The sequence below is a fragment of the Homo sapiens genome, chromosome 8 (assembly GCF_000001405.40).
Source record: "Homo sapiens chromosome 8, GRCh38.p14 Primary Assembly".
Lineage (NCBI taxonomy): Eukaryota > Metazoa > Chordata > Mammalia > Primates > Hominidae > Homo > Homo sapiens.
In genome coordinates this window covers 11,277,375-11,301,102 of record NC_000008.11, presented here as the reverse complement: position 1 = coordinate 11,301,102, position 23,728 = coordinate 11,277,375, and the positions used below count along the sequence as shown (strand labels likewise).

General features: G+C 39.2%; 1 protein-coding gene and 1 long non-coding RNA gene across 5 annotated transcripts in view, besides 6 other annotated features; one reads left to right on the top strand and one right to left on the bottom strand.

The window, feature by feature from the left end:
- The window catches only part of MTMR9 (myotubularin related protein 9), a 54,711-nt gene extending 38,424 nt beyond the window's left edge, over nt 1-16,287 (bottom strand). For 3 of the 4 annotated variants that reach the window (XM_047422125.1, NM_015458.4, XM_017013753.3), the window contains exons 1-3: nt 16,033-16,287; nt 5,801-5,909; nt 955-1,080 (exon numbers count right to left, since the gene is read on the bottom strand). In XM_047422125.1, the coding sequence (XP_047278081.1) occupies nt 955-1,080; nt 5,801-5,909; nt 16,033-16,214 (417 nt within the window). In that variant the 5' untranslated portion in view covers nt 16,215-16,287. The other variant, XM_011543831.3, reaches the window with a different exon arrangement.
- Nucleotides 16,199-16,608: a silencer, noted in NCBI's record as "silent region_18927". NCBI's record gives its function as "represses an Ori minimal core promoter by ATAC-STARR-seq in GM12878 lymphoblastoid cells {active_cell/tissue: GM12878}" and the evidence as "EXISTENCE:reporter gene assay evidence [ECO:0000049][PMID:35858748]".
- Nucleotides 16,199-16,803: a biological region, named in NCBI's record as "H3K27ac hESC enhancer GRCh37_chr8:11141809-11142310".
- Nucleotides 16,302-16,803: an enhancer, noted in NCBI's record as "H3K27ac hESC enhancer chr8:11141809-11142310 (GRCh37/hg19 assembly coordinates)". NCBI's record gives its function as "activates a minimal SCP1, AML or CMV promoter by ChIP-STARR-seq in primed H9 embryonic stem cells {active_cell/tissue: H9 hESC(primed)}" and the evidence as "EXISTENCE:reporter gene assay evidence [ECO:0000049][PMID:30033119]".
- The window catches only part of LINC00529 (long intergenic non-protein coding RNA 529), a 36,768-nt gene continuing 30,111 nt past the window's right edge, over nt 17,072-23,728 (top strand). The window contains exons 1-2 of the long non-coding RNA NR_170283.1: nt 17,072-17,252; nt 19,682-19,814. This is a non-coding gene — a long non-coding RNA (long intergenic non-protein coding RNA 529). The remainder of the gene's footprint in view (nt 17,253-19,681; nt 19,815-23,728) is intronic.
- Nucleotides 17,079-17,138: an enhancer, noted in NCBI's record as "active region_27004". NCBI's record gives its function as "activates an Ori minimal core promoter by ATAC-STARR-seq in GM12878 lymphoblastoid cells {active_cell/tissue: GM12878}" and the evidence as "EXISTENCE:reporter gene assay evidence [ECO:0000049][PMID:35858748]".
- Nucleotides 17,229-17,318: an enhancer, noted in NCBI's record as "active region_27003". NCBI's record gives its function as "activates an Ori minimal core promoter by ATAC-STARR-seq in GM12878 lymphoblastoid cells {active_cell/tissue: GM12878}" and the evidence as "EXISTENCE:reporter gene assay evidence [ECO:0000049][PMID:35858748]".
- Nucleotides 20,101-20,150: a silencer, noted in NCBI's record as "silent region_18926". NCBI's record gives its function as "represses an Ori minimal core promoter by ATAC-STARR-seq in GM12878 lymphoblastoid cells {active_cell/tissue: GM12878}" and the evidence as "EXISTENCE:reporter gene assay evidence [ECO:0000049][PMID:35858748]".

Here is a 23,728-nt window from a genome sequence, read left to right as displayed (position 1 = left end):
AGGGAGAACTGCCACTTTAATGAGCCAAATCCAGCCTGCTACTTGTTTCTGCAAATAAAGTTTATTAGAACATAGCACCACCCATTCACTGATGTCTCATCTGATTGCTTTTTTCATGCAACAACAGCAGAGTTCAGTAGTTACAACAGAGACCACATGACCTGCAAAGCTTAAAATATCTACTATCTAATGGTCTTTCACAAAAGTCAGCCAACCACTAACCTGAACAATATTGTCTTCCAATTGATGTACACAGTATCTCTCCTTTTATTTAGATCTCTTGCAACTTCTTCCAACAATGTTTTATGTCTTTCAGTGTATAGACCTTGAATTTCTTTTGTTAAATTTATTCGTAAATATTTTATTCATTGTCAGATCGCTTGTTGCCAATTCAATTCGTTTTTGTATACCGATCTTATATCAACCAACTTTGCTAAACTTACTTATTCTAGTTATTTTATTGCTTTCTGCTCTTATTTTTATTATTTTTTCTTTCTAGTTACTTTGCTTTTTTTTTCTAGCTTCTTAAATTGGTGCTTAGGTCAATAATTTTAGACTTTCCTTTCTAGTAAAAATTTTAAAGCTGTAAGTTTATCTCTAAACACTGCCTTAGCTGTCTGTATTCCACAAATTTCAATATGTTACATAACCATTATCACTCACTTCAAAATGTTTTCTAATTTCTTTGACATGCAGATTATTTACAAGCGTTCTGTTTAATTTAGAAATACTTGGGGGTATTCCTAGATATCTTAGTATTACTGATTATTAATCTAATTCCTTTGTGATCAGAGATCATACTCTGCATGGCTTCAATCCTTTTAAATATATTAAGATTAGGAATGGATAAGTCAACTTCACCTTATTACTCTTCAAAAGAAGTGATCATTTTCACAAGTCAAATAAGGTATTGGGTTACTTCTCATAATCCACAGTTCTCAAAAGTTAACTCACAGCTGAAGAATAGAGTTCAAATTCTTGCTCAGGAAGGAAGGAATGCCAGCCATCTTCTATCACTTCAAACATAGGACGGTAAAAGAAAGGGTACATCAGAGTGATGGAGTCCAGAGTAGACAATGCCTGGGGGCAAAAAGAAAAGAAAGACAAAAAAGAAACATCCACAACTGGAAACATATTCTAACTGACAAATTAGTATTAAGCAAACATGGTCTAATAATGATGGGCACCCAGAATGTTTCTCTAACATTGTGTTTATCACCAGATACAATTTTAGTCTTACTGAAGCTGATTTCTTTGCTTCTAGTATCTAACAAAGGCATCTGCCACATAACACACACTCAAAAGTGTTGACGGGATGAAAAAAAGAACAAAAAAATGTGCATACCAATTCTAGAAGAAAAATGAAATAACACCTCGACATCAATTAATAAAGCTTAATAAAAAGGTCTAAGTATTTCTGGGGATCAGTTTTTGGCTAGTCAGTAAGGTCTTGGCTCAAAATCCAGTTATTACCTAAATAAACTTATGTAAATTATTTGAAATCAGGGTGGGTTAGTAACTGTAAAAAAGGATGATACAGCCTAGAGGTCTACAGTCAGATGGGAATGAGAATGCCGGACTGAAATTCCAAATCCTAGCAGTGCAGTAGGAAAGTCATGTAACCACTCTATGCCTCAGTTTCCTCAACTGTAAAATGGGGGAAATAACATACCTACTTCATAGTGTTGTTGAAGCATTAAGAGAGATAATGTGTGTAAAAGGCTTAGAACAGTGTCTGGCACATAATAAAATCTAAAGTAATTCCCACTTTTATTCTGAGACAGAGTTTTGCTCTTGTCACCCAGGCTAGAATGGCGCGATCTCGGCTCACTGCAGCCTCCGCCTCCCGGGTTCAAGTGATTCTCCTTCCTCAGCCTCCTGAGTAGCTGGGATTACAGGTGCCTGCCACCACACCCAGCTAATTTTTTTGTATTTTTAGTAGAGATGGGGTTTCACCATGTTGGCCAGGCCAGACTTGAACTCCTGACCTCAGGTGATCTGCCTGCCTCAGCCTCTCAAAGTATTGGGATTACATGTGTGAGCCACCGCACCTGGCCAATTTCAGCTATGACATGCTCTACATAGGTAGAAATTCCATCAATGTTCATTTCCTCTCTTCCTAGACTGGTATATGCCATTTGGTCATGTATCATCATATTTTCATGCTGCAGGGATCCATTCTCAAATGGGGGCAATAACTCTATCAGCCCCAAATGGGCCTATATTTACCTGGAGCACTTGAATCCTGGAAAACAGACATAGGAAAACCTGAGTAGATGGGAGGAACAGAGAGAAGGAAAGTCTCTATCACTAGGCAGATTCATCCTTCTCACAGGGGGATTATGGAAAAAAGTATTTCTATACTGGATGGCGGGGGGGGGGTGCAGCGGGGAAAGGATACCATATCAATTAGCATAATTCAAACTGCAGGAATGATGGAGACATTCACCTGGACAGGAGGAGAAGGCCCAACAGCAATGCTCAGAATGCACTTATCTCCCTCCAGGTCAGAGGAAGATCAGGCATGCAAAAGGATAGGCCCATGACTATTCAATAGTAGACCGGACATACAGCTCAGCAGTGTAGCAAAAACATCTCCATCCAAAGTTATTTTTCTATCCATCTATAAATCATGAAACCTTCTCTCCTACCTCATAAAACAAAATATAGAGAAGCATGGCTGTATAATCCATTATCCATATAAATATATATATATATATTTTTCCTACATCTATACTGTCTTTGGCTGCCAATCACACCAAACAGAAGCAGAACAGCCAGCGTCCATGTCTGACCTAACTCAGGGCTGCCGTCAATCAGAACCACCATTATTTTAAATGCAAGTCAGCAACCACTCTCACAGGCAATAAGCACTCATATTTCATCTTGAGATCTTATGTCACTAGAAAGAGGTCTTTTCCTTTAAACACATTAATGCTGAGAGAACTGAAAACATTTCACTTCCAAAGGCAGGTGAAACACTGAAAAAAAGCTTCACTAACTTATTGCTACAATTTAGATAACTGAGCACTTGCCAGCTATTCTTCCAATGGGATTCTACGTGAGGCAGCAGAATATATTTGAGTATACGGACTCCTAATTACAAAGGACAGCTCAGCTATGCTATATGAAAAATTCAATTACTACTCACAAATCGTGTCCAGATGTATTCGGGGAAGGGTGGAGGGCTAGCAGGAGGGATTCTGTGCCAGGAAAAGGATAGAGGACAGGTTCACTATGTTAATCACTACGCTGTAAGAACATTTAACAGAGCATTCATTTTCTGAGGTCAAATGAGCTCATAATTTACGGCTTCTTTTCAGTCCTAAGGGCTTTTATATAATGAGTCAGTTTCTAAAGAGTTTTAAAATATATACAGCTACTTAAACAACTGATCAGCGTCAGCAAGTGGGTAGCACACTTCCCCTTTTCCTTCACCACTGTGCCTCACCACAGGCAGCATCTCTGACACCAACCAGCCAGTCATCTTACAGATCAATTCTCACAAAGGAATAAGAAAAACGAAGACTGGTCAGTGAAAATCCAATCTCCTAACTGAAAAAAAAAAAAACCACAAAACCCACAAACACATACATGCTCAATGGAAGTGGGTAATGTTCCTCTGCCCAAATGCCCAAATAGTGGGACATTATTTCAATTTAACAGTCTATAAACTACATGCATTCTCATTCAATTTAACAAATTACATCAAATCAACATCATGCATTACTTCCAAATGACAGATGTGTAAGACAAACAGTTCAGTTCATCTTCTCATTTCCTTAAGTAAAATTCAACAAAGGCAGGAAGAAATGTGTTATGTACCATTTACTTAGCACTATAACAGTTTTTCCTCTATTTCTCTATTCCTGTTTTAAAAATCACTAAAATCCTACTTCTAGATTTTTAAGACTTTCTACCCATTTTTAATAGCTAAGCTGATAGCATTTTTTGGACACAAAGTCCAGATTAGTTACACATACACGGAAAGAAAAAATCAACGTTCCTATAGTAGTCTAGAAAGTACTATAAACCTAAGATTAACTGATATAATTTAGTGGCAATAGTTTAAAATAAGGCAATTTAAAATTTCAGTGTACATCAAAATAGTTGGTTAGAATGGAAAGAAAACAGTATGAGCTCTTCCATTTAAACTAACCAAGTAAAATTTCTATTATTTGTAATCTGAACCAATATTCAATATTATTTATATAAATAAAAAGCAAACACACCCTGTCTTAAGCTAATTGATACGTGAAAATTCAGATTACTAAAAACAAACAAAAAACTATAATCACTGGTGACAGTTACTTGCTTTAGAAAAGAAATAACTTTTTAAAAGTCTCACCACATGCATCCATAACAATGGAATATTACTCAGCCTTAAAAAGTCAGAATTTACAACACAGATGAACTGTGAGGATATTATGCTAAGTGAAAAAAACCAGTCACAAAAAGACAAATACTATGTACTATGATTCTACTTATATGAGATACCTAAAGTAGTCAAATTCAGAGAAACAGAAAGTAGAATGGGGGTTCTCAGGAGCTGGAGAGAGGGGAAAATGGGGTGTTGTTTAACACAGAGTTTCGATCTTGCAAGATGAAAAAGTCCTGGAGATCTGCTGCACAACAATGTGAATAAAGTTTTATACCCTACTAAACTGTACACTTAAAAACGGTTAAGTGTTTTCTAACCACAATTTTTTTAAAAAAGCATCACCATAAAATTATAGTAAGTAATGACAGAGGACCCTCAAATGGTAGCTGCTATTTACCAAGTATTATACTAACCATTCTACACACATCAACTAATAAAATTCTTACAACAGCCCTAAAAGATAGGTACTATTATCCTTGTTTTATAAAACGTAGAAAACAAATCAGAGAGATGTTAAGTACTTTACCAATGGTCACAAGCTAGCATGTGGTAAAATCAAGAATCAAACTGTGCTATCGTTCAATAATGTACTAATACATGTAATAATGTGTATATATATATGTAATAATATGGTACAATAATATTCTAATTTATTAATATTTCTATTCAAATTTTTAGAACTGTATTTATTACAAAAGATATACTAGTATATTCAAGAAGAAACAATTCCACTTCTAGCTGCTAACCTGGTAGAGAAGTGAACAGTGCACTGGTTAACTCACTAGTGGTTTGCAGTGTCTCTAAGGAACTCTGTAGAGGGCAGATGGGAATAGTCAAGTCAATGAGGGCTTCTAGGTCCCCCCAGTCCCTACCTACTCACTGTAATGTGACTAAAAGCAATTCTAACTGTATCTATTTTATTGGTTTACAATTCCATATAAGATTTTACTTGAACAAACCTCAAGTAAAGGAAAGAAAAAGAAGTTTACAGTCTTTGGCACAGAGCTTTGTATAGTGAACATAAAATATCAAGCAAAACTTTAAAATTTCTCCCAAGAACCTCTTTACTAAATCTTCTAATGGTTTCCCCAAATAAGAACTCATACACTCAAGTGAAACAGTATCTGTTATTTAACCAATATGAACTCATGGAAATTCCACAAAGCCATTGGAAATGGAATTCCAAGCAACTCATGGAATTGAGCTACTCATATAACGTGAGTAACACCAGACACTGCTGGAAGTCAAGAAAGTTCCATTACACTCATATGACGATGAACCAGGGTGAGGCTTTTCCTATCAGTCTTCAGTATTTGAGTCAGAGAACATGACTAAATTATCTAATGAAGAAATGGAAGAGCTACACTGAGTCATAATATAAAATTATGTTTCATTAGATTTTGCTTCCAAAATACTTACCTCAATGGAACTGGCTATATTCAAGCATTCCTCCATTCCAGGAATATCCAACTGAATAATTCGAAAATCTTTACATTTTATGATGATGGTACCCAGTGATCCTACAAATCTGTAAGAAATTGCAAATCATGTTTAGGAACACATATATTACTAACTTTAAATATATTATTATTTCTTTGAAAAGAGAATATAGTTGTAGTTACCATCTATATTAACTTTCTTCTCCTCAGTCTAATTAAGGAAGAAGCAAGGCTGCATCATTAAAATGTGAGCCATACATTACTTACAATATATGTCTTTTTTAAATTTCAAATATATAAAGTAATTCACATTAAGCTAACTGTTCTGATGGAGATTATTTGGGGCCTTATTTCAAAGAATAGGAAAAAGATCTGTAACTAATGTGTTAAGTGTTTGTAGAGAGATATTTCTGGAGCATAGGAAAACAGTTCACTTCAGATTTCCCTTACTTCCAAGTGATACATATTATGTATCAATTTATAAAAAGCAAAAGGGCCGGGTGCCGTGGCTCACGTCTGTAATCCCAGCACTTCAGGAAGCCAAGGCGGGTGGATCACGAGGTCAGGAGATCAAGACCATCCTGGCTAACACAGTGAAATTCTGTCTCTGCTAAAAATACAAAAAATTAGCTGGGCGTGGTGGCATGCAGCTACTCAGGAGGCTCAGGCAAGAGAATCGCTTGAACCCGGGAGGCAGAGGTTGCAGTGAGCCGAGTCTGAGCCACTGCACTCCAGCCTAGGTGACAGAGTTGAGACTCTGTCTCAAAAAAAAAAAAAAAAAAGTGAAAGTATTTGACAAAATCTAACATCCATTTCTGATTTAAAAACATGAAAAACCAAAAATTTCTCAGCAAATTTGAAACAGAAGGGAACTTCCTCAACCTGATAAGGGCATTTACAAAAAACCCCACAAAAAAACCCCTAAATCTAATAGCACACTTAACGGTGAAGGATTGAATTATTTCTCTCTAAAATCATGAATAACACAAAGATGTTCACTGTCACCACTTCTAGTCAACATTGCACTCAAGGTTATAACTAGTGCAGTAAGGTAAAAAGAATAAAAAAGGATTAAAAAAGAAGTAAAACTACCTTTATTTGCAGATGACGATTGTGTAAATGTACCCAGAATTTTCTTTTTATTGTCAATTATTCCCCAAATTCATCCAGTGATACAACATAATTCCAAACAAAATCACAGCAGACTTTAATGTAGAAACTGAAAAGGTGATTCTAAAATTCATATGGAAATGCAAATGTCTTCAAATAGCCAAAACAACTTTGAATAAGAACAAAGTGGTATGGCTAACACTACACAATTTCAAGGCTTACTATAAAGCTACAGTAATTAAGACAGTGTGAAAATGACATGATGATAACAGATCAACTGAACAGAAAAAAAGAGTCCAGAAATAGATCCACTTACACGTGAACAGAGATACGAAGACAATTCAATTGAAGACAGGTCAGTCTTTTCAACAAATGGTGCTGGCACAACTGGATAGCTTTTTTTTTTTTTAAAGAATTTGAATCTATAATCATGAACCATATACAAAAACTAACTCAAAATGGGACCTTTTACCTAAATGTAAAACCCAAAGCTATAAAACTGCTAGAAGAAAACATGAGAGAAAATATTTGTGACCTTAGGTGAGGCAATGGTTTCTTAGATAAGACACTAAAATCCCAATCTATAAAAGAACAAACTGACAAATTGGACATGTTCAAAATGTAAAACGTCTGCTCTTTGAAACACAGGGTTAAAGAGCATGAAAAGGTAAGCCACGGGGCATTCCTGTAGGCTATTGAGGACTTCATCAACAGGCTACACTAAATTTACTGTTAAAATGTTTCTTTCTTCAACAATAAATTAACCTTACCTTACTGTAACTTTTTTACTTTATAAACTTTTTAATCTCTAACGTTTTACCTCTTTTGTAATAACACTAAGCTGAAAATACAACACACCATACAGCTGTACAAAAATATTTTCCTTCTTTATATCCTCATTCTATAAGCTTTTTCCAATTAAAAAATTTTTGTTGGTAAACTTTCTTGTTAAAACCTAAGACACAAACACACACATTAGCCTAGGCCTACACAGGGTTGGGATCATCAATGTCACTGTCTTCCATCTCCACATCTTGCCCCACTGGAAGGTCTTCAGGGGAAATATTAATAACATACATGAACCTGTCATTTCCTGTGATGATAATGCCTTCTTCTGGATAATTCTTGAAGGACTTGCCTGAGGCTGTTTTACAGTTAACATTCTTTTTAGAAGTATAAGCAGTATACTCTAAAATAACAATAACAAGTATACTATAGTAAATACATAAACCAGTAACAAAGTCGTTTTATGATCGTTTATAAATATTATGTGATGTATGCAATGGTATGTGCTACATTGTTGTGTAACTGGCAGCCCAGGTTTGTTGTTTATACTGGCATCACCACAAACACAACGTCACTGGGCAAGAGAAACTTTTCAGGTCCATTATAATCTTATGGGACTACCATCATATATATAATAAATCACATGACTGTGTATGAATATACAAACATACACTCTCAAAACGCAGTAAGAAAGCAAATAATCCATTACAAATGGGAAAACTATATGGATGGTCACTTAGCAAAAAAAAGACATATGGATGGCAAATAAGCATATGAAAAGATGCCCTACACCACTAGTCATAAGGGAAATGCAAATTTAAGCCACAGTAAGATACCACTTAACATCTATTGGAATTGCCAAAATTTAAAAGACAGACCATAGCAAATGCTGACAAGAATGTGGAGGAAATAGAACTCTCACACACTGCTCATAGGTATGTAGAACTGTAGGTACAAGCACTTTGGAAAACAGTTGGGGCAGCTTCTTAAAAAGTAAAACACATACCTACATCTGATCCAGCCATTCCACTGGCAAGTAAATGGCTTGCCACCCAAGAGAAAAGAAACCACATGTTCATTCAAAGACTTGCATAAGAATATTAAAAACAACTTTATTTAATAGCCTCAAATTGGAAACCCACATTTCCATCACCAGGTGAATAAATGAACTATGGAATACTGCAAAATGGACACTTAGTACTCAGCAATAAAAAGAATGAACTATTGATATATACAACATGGACAAATCTCAAAAGAGAGTACTGCATGATTTATGATATACTGACATAAATTTCTAGATAATGCAAACTCATCTGTGACTACTTGGAAAAGAAAAGAAGGAAGGGATTACGAAAGGGCACCACAAAACTTATGGGGGTGATAAATTCATTATCTTGAACTTATGGTGACAGTTTCAGGGTGTGTACATATATCAACACACATCAAAGTTTACACTTCAAATATATATAGTGTGTAATACGTCGACTGTACCTCAATAAAACTGTTTTAAAAATCACTGTCATTCTGCTTCAGCTGGAAGTGAAAGACACACAGCAACCAAACTGTCAGTAAAAAAACAAAAAAAATGTACAAGACATACGGTTATTCTCTTGTAAATTTCCATATCATCTATGCTTGTCATACTAACTCATTTTGTAAGGTGAATTTTGTTTTGTTAGTCTGGCAGGTTTTATGTAGTTGCTATAAAGTATAATGAATGACTAGAGGAGTTAAAAATAATTGTTACTTTATGTCAGAATAAATATGCTATAAACTATTAAGGTATTCTCCATTCATTTATTCAATGTTTCTAGTCAGTTACTTATAGAACAGTGGGCCAAGAAAAATATGTTTTAAAAACATAAGAGCTCCACAAAACTCCTATGATTCACATCAATTGTCAGATTCAGTTCTATTTTATCATTTTGTCCTTATTGTCCCATCCATGCCCTGTATACATCCCTATCACAGCATTTAAAATACTTTATTAAACTTTCTAGTTTATATGTTTATTTCTTATAATGGTCTTAGTTTTTTCAGGTAGAAGGCATGTTTGATTAATTTCTATATCCTCAGCTCCTAGTACAGCACCTAGCATATACACCATCTTAAAGTTCCACTAAGGGACTTAAAGGAAGATCTGAATAAATAATGTAACATTGTTCATGGATGTCAAGATGTCAATTTGACTCCAATTAATCTATAAATCCAAAACAATTCATTTTTTTAAAATCCTATGAAAATTGTATAAAGTCTGTGGTCTAGTTAATAGTACTGCACCAATGTCAATGTCCTAATTTTGTCCTCATTTTGATTACACTACAGTTATAAAACAGGTCAACATTAGGGGAAGCTGAGTGGACGATTCTAAAACCTCTATGTGCAATTTTTGCAACTGCCTTTGAGTCTTCAATTATTATTAAAGACTTTTAAAAATCCCATGAACATAGCAAGTTTTCCAAAATTGCATGGAAACATAAAGGTCGAAACATAGTTGTCAACTTTAAAAAAAAAAAAAAAAAACGAAAGCGGGGCAACTAGCACTATCCGATTTTTGGACACATCACAAAGCCACAGAAGGAAAGAGAATATGATGATGACAAAAGAGCAGATTAATGAACCAATGGATTATGACAGAGAGCTCAGAAACAGACCCGTATATATAGGATAACTTGACATAAACCAGCCAAGGTTGGGTTGTCACGTGATGGGATTAAGAAAACTGGCTTGCTCTATGGAGAAAAATAGGTTCTTATCACACTTGAAACAAAGATAGAATCCAAATTAAAGACCTAAAAATGAACAGTAAAACTATGAAGCTATTATGGAAGAAAATGTAGGAGAACATCCTGGTGATTTGGGGACAGGGAAGGAGTTCTTAAGACAAGCCACACACCATAAAGCAAAACATTGGCAAGTTCTGCATTAAAAGTAAAGATTTCTGTTCAACAAAGGGCACCACAGAAAAAAACAACAGATGGGTGACACACTAGAAAACATTCGTAATGCCTAAATGGAGAATGAACACCCACAGAGTATACAAGGTACCCATGCAAATCAACATGAGAAGGACAATAAACCCAATGTTTAAAAGTAGACCACAGAAATTAGGCAATTCACAAAAAGGAAAAAAAAAAATTTTAAGTATACTGCTCACAAGCATATACAAAGATAATTAAACACTAATAATTAATGAAATTCAAATTAAAACAAAGCAATAACTATTTCACAATCTTCAGACTGGAAAAATTAGAAAGACAATACCAAATGTTGGTAAGAAAGTGGAGACGAGGTACCCTCTCCTGCACCATCATGGGAAGGCAATGTGCAATTGTCATCCTGGAAAGCAATTAGTTTGTGAAATGAGATACGCACCTACTTTATGGCGCCATCCCATCCTAGGGGCAGTCTCAGAGCAATTATGGCACAAGACTATATAAAGGGACATGAATGAGTATGTTTACCAGAGTTGTTTGTGATAGCAGGGAGTTGGAAGTTACCTAAAAGGTCTGTTAAGGAAGCTCTTTTAGATACTTTGGAATCCTATGCTGTCAGAAGCAGTGAAATGGTTGTACACACAGCAATATGAAGAGATCTTGAAACAGTATTGTGTCACCATATTAAGAAGCAGAACAAGATCTACAACATAATCCCAGTTAGGCAAATTAAACTCACACATGCATGTGTGCGCACACCCATACACAATAGTGCTATCTATTTTATAGCAACAACTAACGTGGTTGCCTACAGGGATTGTGGATGAGGCAGGAAACGGGAGTGAAAATTAGGGAGGAAGAAAATCAACAACAGAGGAAACCTTTTAAGGAATCAATCATGAAAATGATGAGTCATCAACTGAGTAGTAGTAACTCAATTTTCTGAGGTCCATTAAAAAAAAAACCAGGTATAACTGTAAAACTTGTATACAACCTTGCATGTTGAAAGGATCAAATAAAATGATGTAAGCGATATATATGAAAGTATTCCACAGACTTGTGAAGCATTATTTAAACTTAAGTTTCTACGAGGTTAAGTAGTTTGCCCAAAGGCACTTGTCTAGTAAGAGGCAGAACTGAAGGAGTTACCCTTAATGACTTTCTCACCTCATTTACAATTCACCAGCAAGGCAAGGCAGCTCCACTTTCAAAAACACATCCCAAATCAGATTCCTTGTGACTACACTACTGTTTTTTGTTTGTTTGTTTGTTTGTTTTGAGACAGAGACTCACTCTGTCACCCCAGGGTGGAGTTCAGTGGTGCAATCTCAGTTTACTGCAACCTCGGCCTCCCAGGGTGAAGTGATTCTCCTGCCTCAGCCTCCTGAGTAGCTGGGATCAGAGACATGCACCACCAAACCCAGCTATTTTTTGTATTTTCAGTAGAGATGAGGTTTCACCATACTGGCCAGGCTGTGTCGAACTCCTGACCTCAGGTGATCTGCCCGCCTCGGCCTCCCAGAGTGCTGGGATTACAGGCGTGAGCCACCGTGCCCGGCCTACCATCATCTTTTATGTGAACTACTCTACTCTCCAAGCTGGGCCTGCTGCTTCCAGTCTTGCCCCCCTACAGTTTATTTTCTGCCAGCAGCCAGAATTGTCTTCTGAAACATCTATCAGCTGCTGCTTCCTAGCTTTCACCTCTCCAAGGGCTCCCATGAAAACCATTACTGTGGCCTGCAGGCCCTCCACGGTCTGACCACTGCTTATCCCTCCAGCCAGTCTCTACCATCAACTTCCTGTACTCTCTGTTCCCTGCCCTGCAGCCACACTGGCCTCTTCGCTCTTCTCTGCACATGCCAAGCATGTTCCCCATCTCAAGTCTTTGTATTCGCTGTTCCCTCTGGCTGCAATGCTCTTCCCCCAGACACTCACAGTTCTAGCTTCCTCATTTCATTCCGGTCTGTAGTCAGATGTCACCTGCCTTCTCTGAAATCCTTTCTAAGGAAACTGCCTCCCAGTGCTCTTTATCCTCTCATCTTCCGTTACTTTCCTTCCTGGCCCTTATTACCTGACATCATTATATATATATTATATATATATAAATATATTATATATTTATGTATATATATTATATATACATATTATAATATATATTATATGCTATATTATACTATATTATAATATATAATTATTATAATATAATTATTATTATTATATATTATAATTATTAATATATTATATATAATAATTACATGTATTAGGTGAATAGGTGAATAAATAATTATTCACCTATTCGCTGAATAATTAGGTGAATATTTAGGTGAATAATTATTTAATATAATTAGGTGAATAATTATATATATTATATAGGTGAAATATAATATATATTATATAATACGTATTATATAATATATATTATATATCATACGTATTATATACTATGTATTATATGTAATATATATTATATAATACATATATAATACATAGTATATAATACGTATGATATATAACACATATTATATAATATATAATACATATTATGTTATATATAATACGTATTATATATGTTATATATTATAATATAATATATAACATATATAATAAAATATATAATGTTATATATTATATATTATATGTATTATATAATATGTATTATATATAATATATAATAAATATATAATAAATAAATAATAAATATATAAGAAAATAATATATAATATATAATATATATTATAATATATATAATATATAATAAACATAATAAATATAAATATATCTAATAAATATATATATTTATTTCTGGACTTGCTTGATTGTCCATCTCCCTGGCCAGTACCTAAGCATCTTGTCTTAGTCACCACTGCAGCCGCACAGCTCAGACAATGCACGTGGAAAACAGGTGGATGTAAAGATTTCTTGAAAGCAGCAATTTAACAAACTCTGATCTGATGCCTCCCCTATGCTCTTTCACTACACCACGCTGCTTCCCAGGAAAAGGATAAATGTGTGTACAGTTCGTCATTCTCTCCTAACAGATTCAAAGGTCCATGGCTCATCTGCTTCTTCTTCATGTACTACAAAGCCCAGCACCTTGTAAATGCAAGGTAAAAAGGAGGAAACAAATGAGCGCAAAGTAACCACCATAAAAGGTAAATAAGAAAGGAAAGGTAGTTGATGGTCATGGAGAAACTACTCAGTTGTATTCAACGGCATCTGACCATTCAGCGGTCAATCCTTCTTTTGTTTCCTACGCGTCTATATGCCCAAGCCACAGTTAGACGTTTCGAAGGAGATAAAAATGAATTCCAGTTGTGGAATTAACAGAAGAATTTGTGAAGGAGGTAGCGGTCGAAATGGTTAAACTGAATACTCATAGACAGGTAACAGGCTCATTGCCTGTGAACTCCTGAAAGACAAGAACTGTAACATATTTTATTTACCTTGGTGTCTTAAATGCCTAACAAAACGTCCAGAACATAAAGGCATTTGGCAAATGTTAAACAAACTTGGGAGAGGCAAGGCATTCCAGCAGAAGGAAGAAGTCAATAAAATACACAGATGACAGAATACAGGACATATACCAGCACCAGTAAATAGTGAGGACTGGCTGGTAAAAAGCGTTCATGAAAGCAAGTGCAAGAAAGGCTCGTTAAAAGAAATGGCAAGAAATAAAGTGAGAAAGTAGGATAGGGCCGAGACACAGAATGCCATGAATGACTGAGGGGTTTAGATTTTCAATGAGAGACCACTGAAGACTTTTTTTTTTTTTTTTTTTTTTTTTGAGATGGAGTTTTGCTCTTGTTGCAAAGGAAGGAGTGCAGTGGCCCGATCTCGGCTCACTGCAACCTCTGCTTCCAAGGTTCAAGCGATTTTTCCGCCTCAGCCTCCTGAGTAACTGGGATTACAGGCACCTGCCACTATGCCCGGTTAATTTTTTGTATTTTTAGTAGAGACGGGCTTTCATCATGTTGGTCAGGCTGGTCTCAAACTCCTAACCTCAGGTGATCCGCTCACCTTGGCCTCCCAAAGTGCTGGGATTACAGGCGTGAGCCACCGTGCCGGGCCCACTGAAGACTTTATACAGCAAAAGGTGGCTTGAGGAGACTAATAAGAGCCCCCTGCTCATATCAATCAATCAATCTACCATGGCTTCACCCAAACTGCCTGCAATTCTACCATTAGAAATTTTTATTTTAGGCCAGGCGCAGTGGCTCACGCCTGTAATCCCAGAACTGTGGGAGGCCTAGGCGGGAGGATTGCGAGGTCAGGAGTTCAAGACCAGCCTGGTCAATATGGTGAAACCCCATCTCTACTAAAAAATACAAAAATTAGCCGGGTGTGGTGGCGCGTGCCTGTAATCCCAGCTACTCGGGAGGCTGAGACAGAAGAATCGCTAGAACCTGGGAGGTGGAGGTTACAGTGAGCCGAGATTGGCCACCGCACTCCAGCCTGGGCAATACAGTGAGATTTCGTCTCCAAAAAAAAAAAAAAAAAAAAAAGAAAGAAAGAAAGAGATTATTATTTTAAGGCATATCCTCTGTACGAATCTTCCTAATATCCAAATTATCCTGTGAGGCAATAGAAAATGTTGTCGTCATTCATTTATACTTCTGTGTAAAACGGATAATCAGTTTGCCCTCTCCTGGCTAGCGAGTAGCCACTAAGGAGATGGGAATTTTGAATGCAGATGAAAGTTTAACTTTTTGACTTCGAGGCACTGCCTTGGAAAGATAAAGTCTGGAGTACAAAAAGAAAAAAGAGGTTAACTGGTCCATGCCTTTCCTTGAGAGCCAACCCTGTTCTTTCAGCAAGCAGAATTGAGTAAAGATGAAGAGAAGACATCAGAATCTCCCTTAGTGAGAATTAAATTTTGATGACCCAGAAGGTAAGAAATAATATGATACACTGAACATTTTTCAGAAATTAAAAAAATGGTTCTGTAGCATGTAGACACTCATAACTTTATAATCTGTTTAGTTTTCCTCAGAAATGGTAAAGACTTTACCTAAATCACATCCAATCACTTCATGAACGGTGACTGACAATACCAATTCAAGGAATACGATGGGGCAAGAAGAAGAAGAAATTTATAAAGACAATGCCGAAAATCCACCCAAATGGTGTTACGAACCAGAAATGATCATCAGGATGGTACCAGCCACACGATAACCCTGAGAACTCCATCCAGGTTTAATGGAAACCGGGTCCTCCATCTGGACGGGTTTCAGCTTGGTAAATCCTGATTCTAGGCCACAGAGGGCTCATCTTGCCGGCTAGCTGGGCGGCAGGCTGCGCGGAAAACGCCAGGAAGTATTTCCCGGGGCGCCCACAAGGGACCCCCGGCTCCCTGCGGAGCTGGGGTGGGGCGGGCACTCACCGCTTGTCGATGGCGTCGATGTTTGAATGGAGGAGCCACAGCTCCTCCGTATTGTCCTGCCGGGAGGACAGGATCAAGTGGTGGCCCGTCAGGCACAGGGTGCCCTCGACAGCCGGGTAGAAAGGCCGGTGCAGCACCACATTGTCCACCCGCGGGGTCTTAATCAGCTCCGCAAACTCCATGCTCCCCCGCGGCCGGAGCCAGGGAACCGAGCCCGGTAGGTGCGAGGCGGTTACCCCGCCGCAGGGAAGTAGCGGAAACACCCGGCGCGGGGCTGGCCCGTGGGGCGGGGCGGGCCGGGCGGTGAGGCTGGGCCCGCCCCAGGCTGGGTGGGCGCGGCGAGGCCTACAGCCGCCGGCACCGGCCGCGGGGAGACAGGGGCTGGGGCTGGACGAGGCCCAAGCGCCTCTCCCGCACCGCGCGGTTCACCAGGCCTAGGACTCGGCCACAGAGAACCCCTCTCCACAGGCCCAAGGACCGCCGCTGCCGTTGGGCTCCGGGTCCCGCGTTGGCAAGCGGAGGGCAGTAGGAGAAAGCCGCCTCAGAATCCGCTTCCACGCCCTGGCCGCTAGGGACTCCTAGCGGAAGTGGCTACTCGCTGCTGGAGCCCACAACAACTCCGGGCGGAAGCAGCAGGTCTCGAAACTCGGAAGACGCGGAAGTCGCAGCCGGAAGTTGGTCCTCGCTAGGTCCTCTGGAAATGCCTCCGGAAACACAGCCAGACCAGAAGATGTGTGTTCCTACGAGAAAAAAAGCTTGTCTTTGCCTTCACGCCCTCCCGCTGCCTTTCTTAACCACCTACAAATATTCCTTATCAGAAGAGGTCCGGGAAGAGGGAGGAGGTCCCTGTCTTGCCTTCCTCCGCTTGAGTAGTATCCCCTCCAGAAGCTCTTCAGAGCGTGGGGCTGCTGTAAATTGTGATAATTGTTATGCATTAGCCCTGAAGACATGGCAAGTAGGGGATGGAGGCGGTGACTGTGACCTTACGGAATCCTCCAGGGGTCAGGGAGGGACACAGGGCCACTCCACAGGCTCTCCGAGAGCGCCGCGCCACGAGGTGTAACCTGGAGCAAGAAAGAGGAAAAACAGGAATACCTGTGAGAGGAACCCAAGTACATGCAGTGCACAGAAGAGCAAGTCACTTGACTTGCTGGCGGCCACCCCGTTAATCTGCAGCAGAGCCTGGACTTCAGTCTGCATCTGTGAAACCCAGCGCATGGGTGCGTTGGTCACCACCGCACAGCCTCCCCGTCAGACACCCACGTTTCGCCAAAAATTTATTCAAATAATTACTCCTTTGCTTGTTCCTTTCCCACCGCCCACTTCTGACATTTTTATTCAAAAGTAGGAAATAGAAGAGAAATATGTTTGAGTGCTGGTCTGCTGTGACTTCATTGACCTTTTAAATCCTCACCATCTAGTACCTAAGCACAGCGAGTTGGACAAACTCTCACAGTATTCACAAAGTAAATTGCCACAACCTCATCAGCTCATCCAACACTTGTCCATGCTTTTGATTTTGTCCTTCTTAAAATGTACCCTTCTTAAAATAAACCACTTTATAGACTTGTTTTAAGTGAGATACGTAAATGCCTACCAACTTTCCTTGGTGTCTTTGTTGCATAGTTACTGTAGACTGAATAATAGTTGCCATTTTTTATATTTTTGCAGTTTAATTGCTTTCGTCCAAATAGATGGAATCACTTCCTTTGTAATATATGAAGTGTTTTAATTCATTTTTATAACTAGCATTCCTGACAGCACAGGTATCCACCCCCTGAAGTTCCCATTCTATAGAACAAAATAGCAAATAAGTATTTTTTTTTTGTTCCATAATGGACACCCAGTATACACCCAGTATACACAGGGACACCGCATACAGGGAATCAGCTTTATTTTACAACAGAGCTTCACTTTACCCCTCTGGCAATTAATAGATTCTGGGTATTTATTAAGAACTTTAAATTTAATGCAAAGACTGTTAAATACCACCAGCTCAGCTCTGGCAAAGGACTGTTGGCTTTGTTTATCTCCTATCTTCATCCAGATACACTGCCATCCCTATCCCAGCCCGATCTTGGGTCCTTGAAAAAAATGACCTATCATTCCAACTACCAGGGAGGAACTCCCTTTGAATTAATGAATCTGGATGACTTATAAGACTTCAAAAGTATGGAAATGACAAAGGTTAAAATGACAGGATGAGCAGTAAACCCTCTCCAGTCCAATCAGAGCAACCTTTTTGAGGGTGCATTCCCACAGAAACCCATTAGGGGCCCAACATCAACATACACAGAGCTAAAATTCCAGATGCCACTTTGTATTGAAAGAAGCCAAAATTCTGTTCAGGTCGTGGGAACTTGAAGTCTTCAATGCAACCACACCCCAGAAATTAACCCTCACACAATCATGTAAGCTATGCAATTAACCAAACTGCATCGTTTAGAAAACCTGTATGCTTTTCATGGAAACCATCCCTAGTTAAGGGCACTTTAAAGGATGCACAGTCTAAGTACTGTGAAGGTGGGCCCACTAGCTGGGTTGACATTTTCGCTTGGCCACTTTAGTAGGAAACTTAACCACTTGGGAAAGTGAAAACAACAAGCTAACCCACATGTTCACCATGGAAAACAATTTTTGTCTTGAAAAACAAGGAACCTTTTCCCTGTGCAGCACCAGTTCCTACTGTGTTTACCAGCCAATTGGACTGGAACCTGTACACTTGGTTTTTAGCCTCCGAAATCAATATAGCTCCCGGCCGGGCGCAGTTTCTCACGCCTATAATCCCAGCACTTTGGGAGGCCGAGGCAGGCGGATCACCTGAGGTCAGGAGTTCGAGACCAGCCTGGCCAACATGCTGAAACCCTGTTTCTACTAAAAATACAAAAAATTAGCCGGGTATGGTGGCGCACACCTGTAATCCCAGCTACTCTGGAGACTGAGACAGGAGAATCACTTGAACCCTGGAGACAGAGGTTGCAGTGAGCCAAGACTGAGCCACTGTGCTCCAGCCTGGGTGACAGAGGGAGACTGTCTCAAAACAAACAAACTATATATATATGTGTATATATATATATATATTTAGAGAGAGAGAGGGAGAGCTCTCAACAACCAATCCCTCATTATACCTTTAACTGCAACCGCCAGACACAAATGAGCAATCCAACTCAAACGCCTTTTTGTTGGGCTAGGAATAACAGTGAGAGCAGGAACGGGAGTTACCGGGCTTGCAACTTCCCTATACTGTTACCAGCACTTTCCAAGGATTTTGTGGAAAGCTTGGATGACATTGCCCAAAGTATCGTCACAACACAAACTCAAACAGACTCCTTGGCAGCAGTTGCTTTACAAAATAGAAGGGGACTGGATCTCCTAACTGCTGGAAAAGGTGGCTTATGTCTTTTTCTAGAGGAAGAATGCTGTTTTTATGTCAACCAATTAGAATTAGTAAGGGATGCCACCCAGAAATTAGCTGACCAGGCTTCTAAGATACGACAACAGCTGTCCAAGTCGTGGTCCTCCTGTTCAAAAATGCTAATTAGGGGTTCATGAGTCCTTCCTCTGACTGGCTCGTTGTTAATTATACTTGCCTTGGTTTTTGGACCATATTTATTAAATACATTAACCAAATTAATTTCCTCTCGCCTAGAGACCATCAAGCTTCAGATGATCATGCAACAAGGTTTCCAGCCAGTTCAGGTGAAGACACCACTACTGGCCATCAAGAAGCTACCCTGTATCCACTAGACAGAGCAGAGTGAGAGTTCTGTGATCCCAAATAGGTAGGCACCGCACCCCAAGTCAGCATGAAGCAGTTACAGAAGAAAGACCATTGGTCCCTCTGCCTCCCATAAAGATTTATGGGGATCATGTCTCACAGCGGGAAAATGAGACAGGAGAATAGGGTCTAGAGGCAGGGAACCTAAGGCCAATTCTCACTGACTTCCTAGAACTGAATCAGAGGGGAAACCCCACCTCTTCACACGAATGTAACGAAAGGATCAGAGGCTACTCCCTTTGCACTGCACTGCAAATGAAAAATGGAAAGTACCTCTGATTGGTCCCCTCCCACAACCATTCAGACTGGTTGCAGGCCAAGTCTTCATGTGTAACTTTGTAACTACCGTCACTTCAGACTCTGATTGGTCACCTCCCATGATCAGTCAGACTTGTGACGGGCCACTCCTTCATTTACATAGGGTGTAACCAAGTAACCAATGGGAAACCTCTAGAGGCTATTTAAACCCCATGCTGCACGATGGCTCACACCTGTAATCCCACCACTTTGGGAGGCTGAGGAGGGTGGATCACAAGGTTAGGAGTTCCAGACTAGCCTGGCCAACCGACATGGTGAAACCCTATCTCTACTAAAATTACAAAAATTAGCCAGGTGTGGTGTGGGCCTGTAATCCCAGCTATTGGGGAGGCTGAAGCAGGAGAATTGCTTGAACCTGGGAGGTGTAGGTTGCAGTGAGCCAAGAATGTGCCACCGCACTCCAGCCTGGGTGACAGAACAAGACTCCGCCTCAAAAAAATAAAAAAATTAAGCCCCAGAAAATTCTGTAACCAGCGCTCTTGAGCCACTTGCTTGAGCCCGCTCCCGCTCTGTGGAGTGTACTTTTGTTTCAGTAAATCTATGCTTTTGTCGCTTCACTTTTTTGTTGCTTTGTTTGTGAATTTTGTCCAATTCTTTGTTCAAAATGCCAAGAACCTGGGTGATTTGTAGTCAGTACTCTCCACCAGTAACAATAATATTGTTGCACCTGAGAGTCCAGTCTAAAAACAAGAACCAACAGAGTAGGGAAGATGAGGGGGGATGATTTACAAAGTTATTTTTTTAAACTGGAGTTTTTGACTTTCTTCATTTATGTGGATAAGTTATAACAATTACCAATTGTGGAATGAAGAATTTAATTACAGAGTGAAGAATCAGGGAACGTTTTATGGAGAAGGTATCATTTGAAAACAGGACCTTGAAGGATGAGGGTCACACTCTGAATGGAATGTGGCCGACAGAGATGTCCAATTTAGTGATATCTCCTAGAGGTGGGGATGCATTTTTCAGTAATTCCATTACCTTTTTCTTTTAGTTTCTTTATGTGGGGGGAGGCACATGAAAAGCTCATGGTTTCATTAAGTGAAAAATGTTTACTTTTCTATAACACCATGAACTTTTTTGCCCATGAAAGAAAATTGTCAATATCATGCTGGATTGTTGTAACAAAACTATTTAAAAATTACATCTACTTGTGTTGAAGCTCAAAGCATAGAAAGCCCTTGAGATCTGAGGAAAACAAAAATTCACTTGTAAGGAATAGAGCATAGAGGTGAGTTTCGGAGATTGAGAGCACAATATGTTACTTTATTATACGAACAGTAGATGGCAGTGGAGTTTAACAGTAATGGATAGGCTTCCATTCTATTAAAATAATTCAATGAAGCTGTAGTCAAACACATTCTTATCCAAACTGCCTGGACATAAGGATCTGAGAGGAGTCTGATAACCCAAAGAAGATGGTGGCATTTATAATGCACGTAAAAGAGTTACTCAACAACTTACAGATGTTATTATTATAATCAGTCTGTGAGATAACAAATGGCATTGATATGTAATCATCTAGACGTTATTCTCCCAAATAGTCAACCAGCTCTTAGTGCCTATTTGGTCATCAGCACTGTGGGGAATGGAAACAATAGGTTTGACATGGCCATTGCCCTCAAGGAGTAATAGCTAATTTGGGAACGCTAACACGTGCCACACTTGGGGAGAAAATACAAAAATTACTGTTGAGTTTTGAAGTACAGATTTACTTTCCTGGTTTTGTGTTGCCCTACTAGGCCGTGAGTACTTAGTAGAAATTGAGGCCTTTTGAATGTGGTTTGAACAAAGCAGGCCGACCGTGTCCAAAATTAGCAGGAATAACTGAGACGGAGAAGACATGGCCTGTGTATGCTCCTAATGAACAGCCATTCTCTGTGTACTTAGTTGTTTTGTATTGACAGTCAGCAGCTGAAACCAACCCAATAACCTCATTCCAGGTCTTTCTTATGTCTTCCCTTCCCTTCATCTCCCCCAAGCAAACCAGTCACCAAATGGATGATTCTGTCTTTTCATATCTCTTGAATTCCTCCACTTCTCCCCATGCCCAAGGCCACTATGTTAGATCAGACTACCATCATTTCTCATCTACTTAACAGGAAAAATATTTTAGTTGGTTTTCTTTCTTCCAGTGGGGCTCTCCTTCAATCCATTTTTCCATTTGGAAGCTCTTTGGTTGTCTTTGGTGCTCTAAATTCTCTCTCTCTCTCTTTCTTTCTTTCTTTTTTCTTTCTTTCTTTTCTTTCTTTCCTTCTCTCTCTCTCTCTTTCTTTCTTTGCTTAACTTATAAGGCCCTTGGTGATTTAGCCTTTTAAGCAGAGATCAGCATCACAGGTCTCATCTCTGCTCTTCTTTCCCTATCCAGCAGTCTCTAATCTCCACCCATATGCAATTTTCATGCCAGCTATCCTCAAATAACTTGCCTTTTCCTCCTAAGATTTTGCACCCAGTTATAAACTTGTTACTACATGGAGGTGTGGAACAGGGACCAGCATCACTGTCATTCCCTGGGATCTTTGTTAGAAATGTCTCACTCTGAACCTGCTGAATCAGAATCTGCATTTTTATAAGATTCTTAGATGATTTATACACACATTAAAGTTTAAGAAAGCAGTACTTTAAATAATTTTTGTGTTCTTTCTGCCTGGTATATATTTACCTCACTCCCAGCAACTTGTCTGTCAACCCGCTAATGCTACCATCCTTCAGATCTCCTCTCAGAGATCACTGCCTATGGGAAGCCTTCCCTGATTTTCCCTCACAAATATGAGTTTCACAATACATAGGCTTCATAGCACCATATAATAATAACTCATACTAATTGAGTGTTTACTCTGTGTTCTAGACATTGGCTAAATGCCTTACATGTAGTCTCATGTCCTCCTTCTACAGTGTTCTGAGGTTGATCTTGGGAGGAATTATGTCTCTCCCTCCGCCAAATTCATGTGTTGATGTCCCAACCCTCAGTACCTCCATAGGCTATTTGGAGCTAGGATCTTTAAAGAGGTAAGTTAAATGAGATAATTAGGATGTCTGTAATCCAATATGACTGGTGTCCTTATACTAAGAGGAAATTTGGACACAGACACATATGAGAGGTGAGGAGAGAGGGTTCAGGAAACTCAACCGTGCTAACGCTTTGATCTCAGATTTCTGGCTTCCAGAACTGTAAGAGAAATTTCTGTTGTTTAAACCACCAGGCTTTGATACTTTATTATGGCAGCCCTGGCAAACTAACACGGTTGGTTATTGTTCTCCTTTTATTGAGGCACAGAGAACTTAGGAACTTTTTTTTAGGAACTTTTCCAAGGTCGGGAGTAAATGGTCCAGATCTAGACTCAAGCAGTCAAGTGTAGACCCCACGATCTTTACCACCATGCTTTGCCAACCATGCACACTGAGTCCACCTTGGTTACTGATATGGTTTGGCTGTCTCCCCACCCAAATCTCATTTTGAACTGTAGTTGCCATAATACCCATGTGTCGTGGGAGGGACCCAGTGGGAGGTAATTGAATCATGGGGGCAATTACCCCCATGCTGCTGTTCTTGTGATAGTGGGTGAGTTCTCATGAGACCTGATGATTTTATAAGGGGCT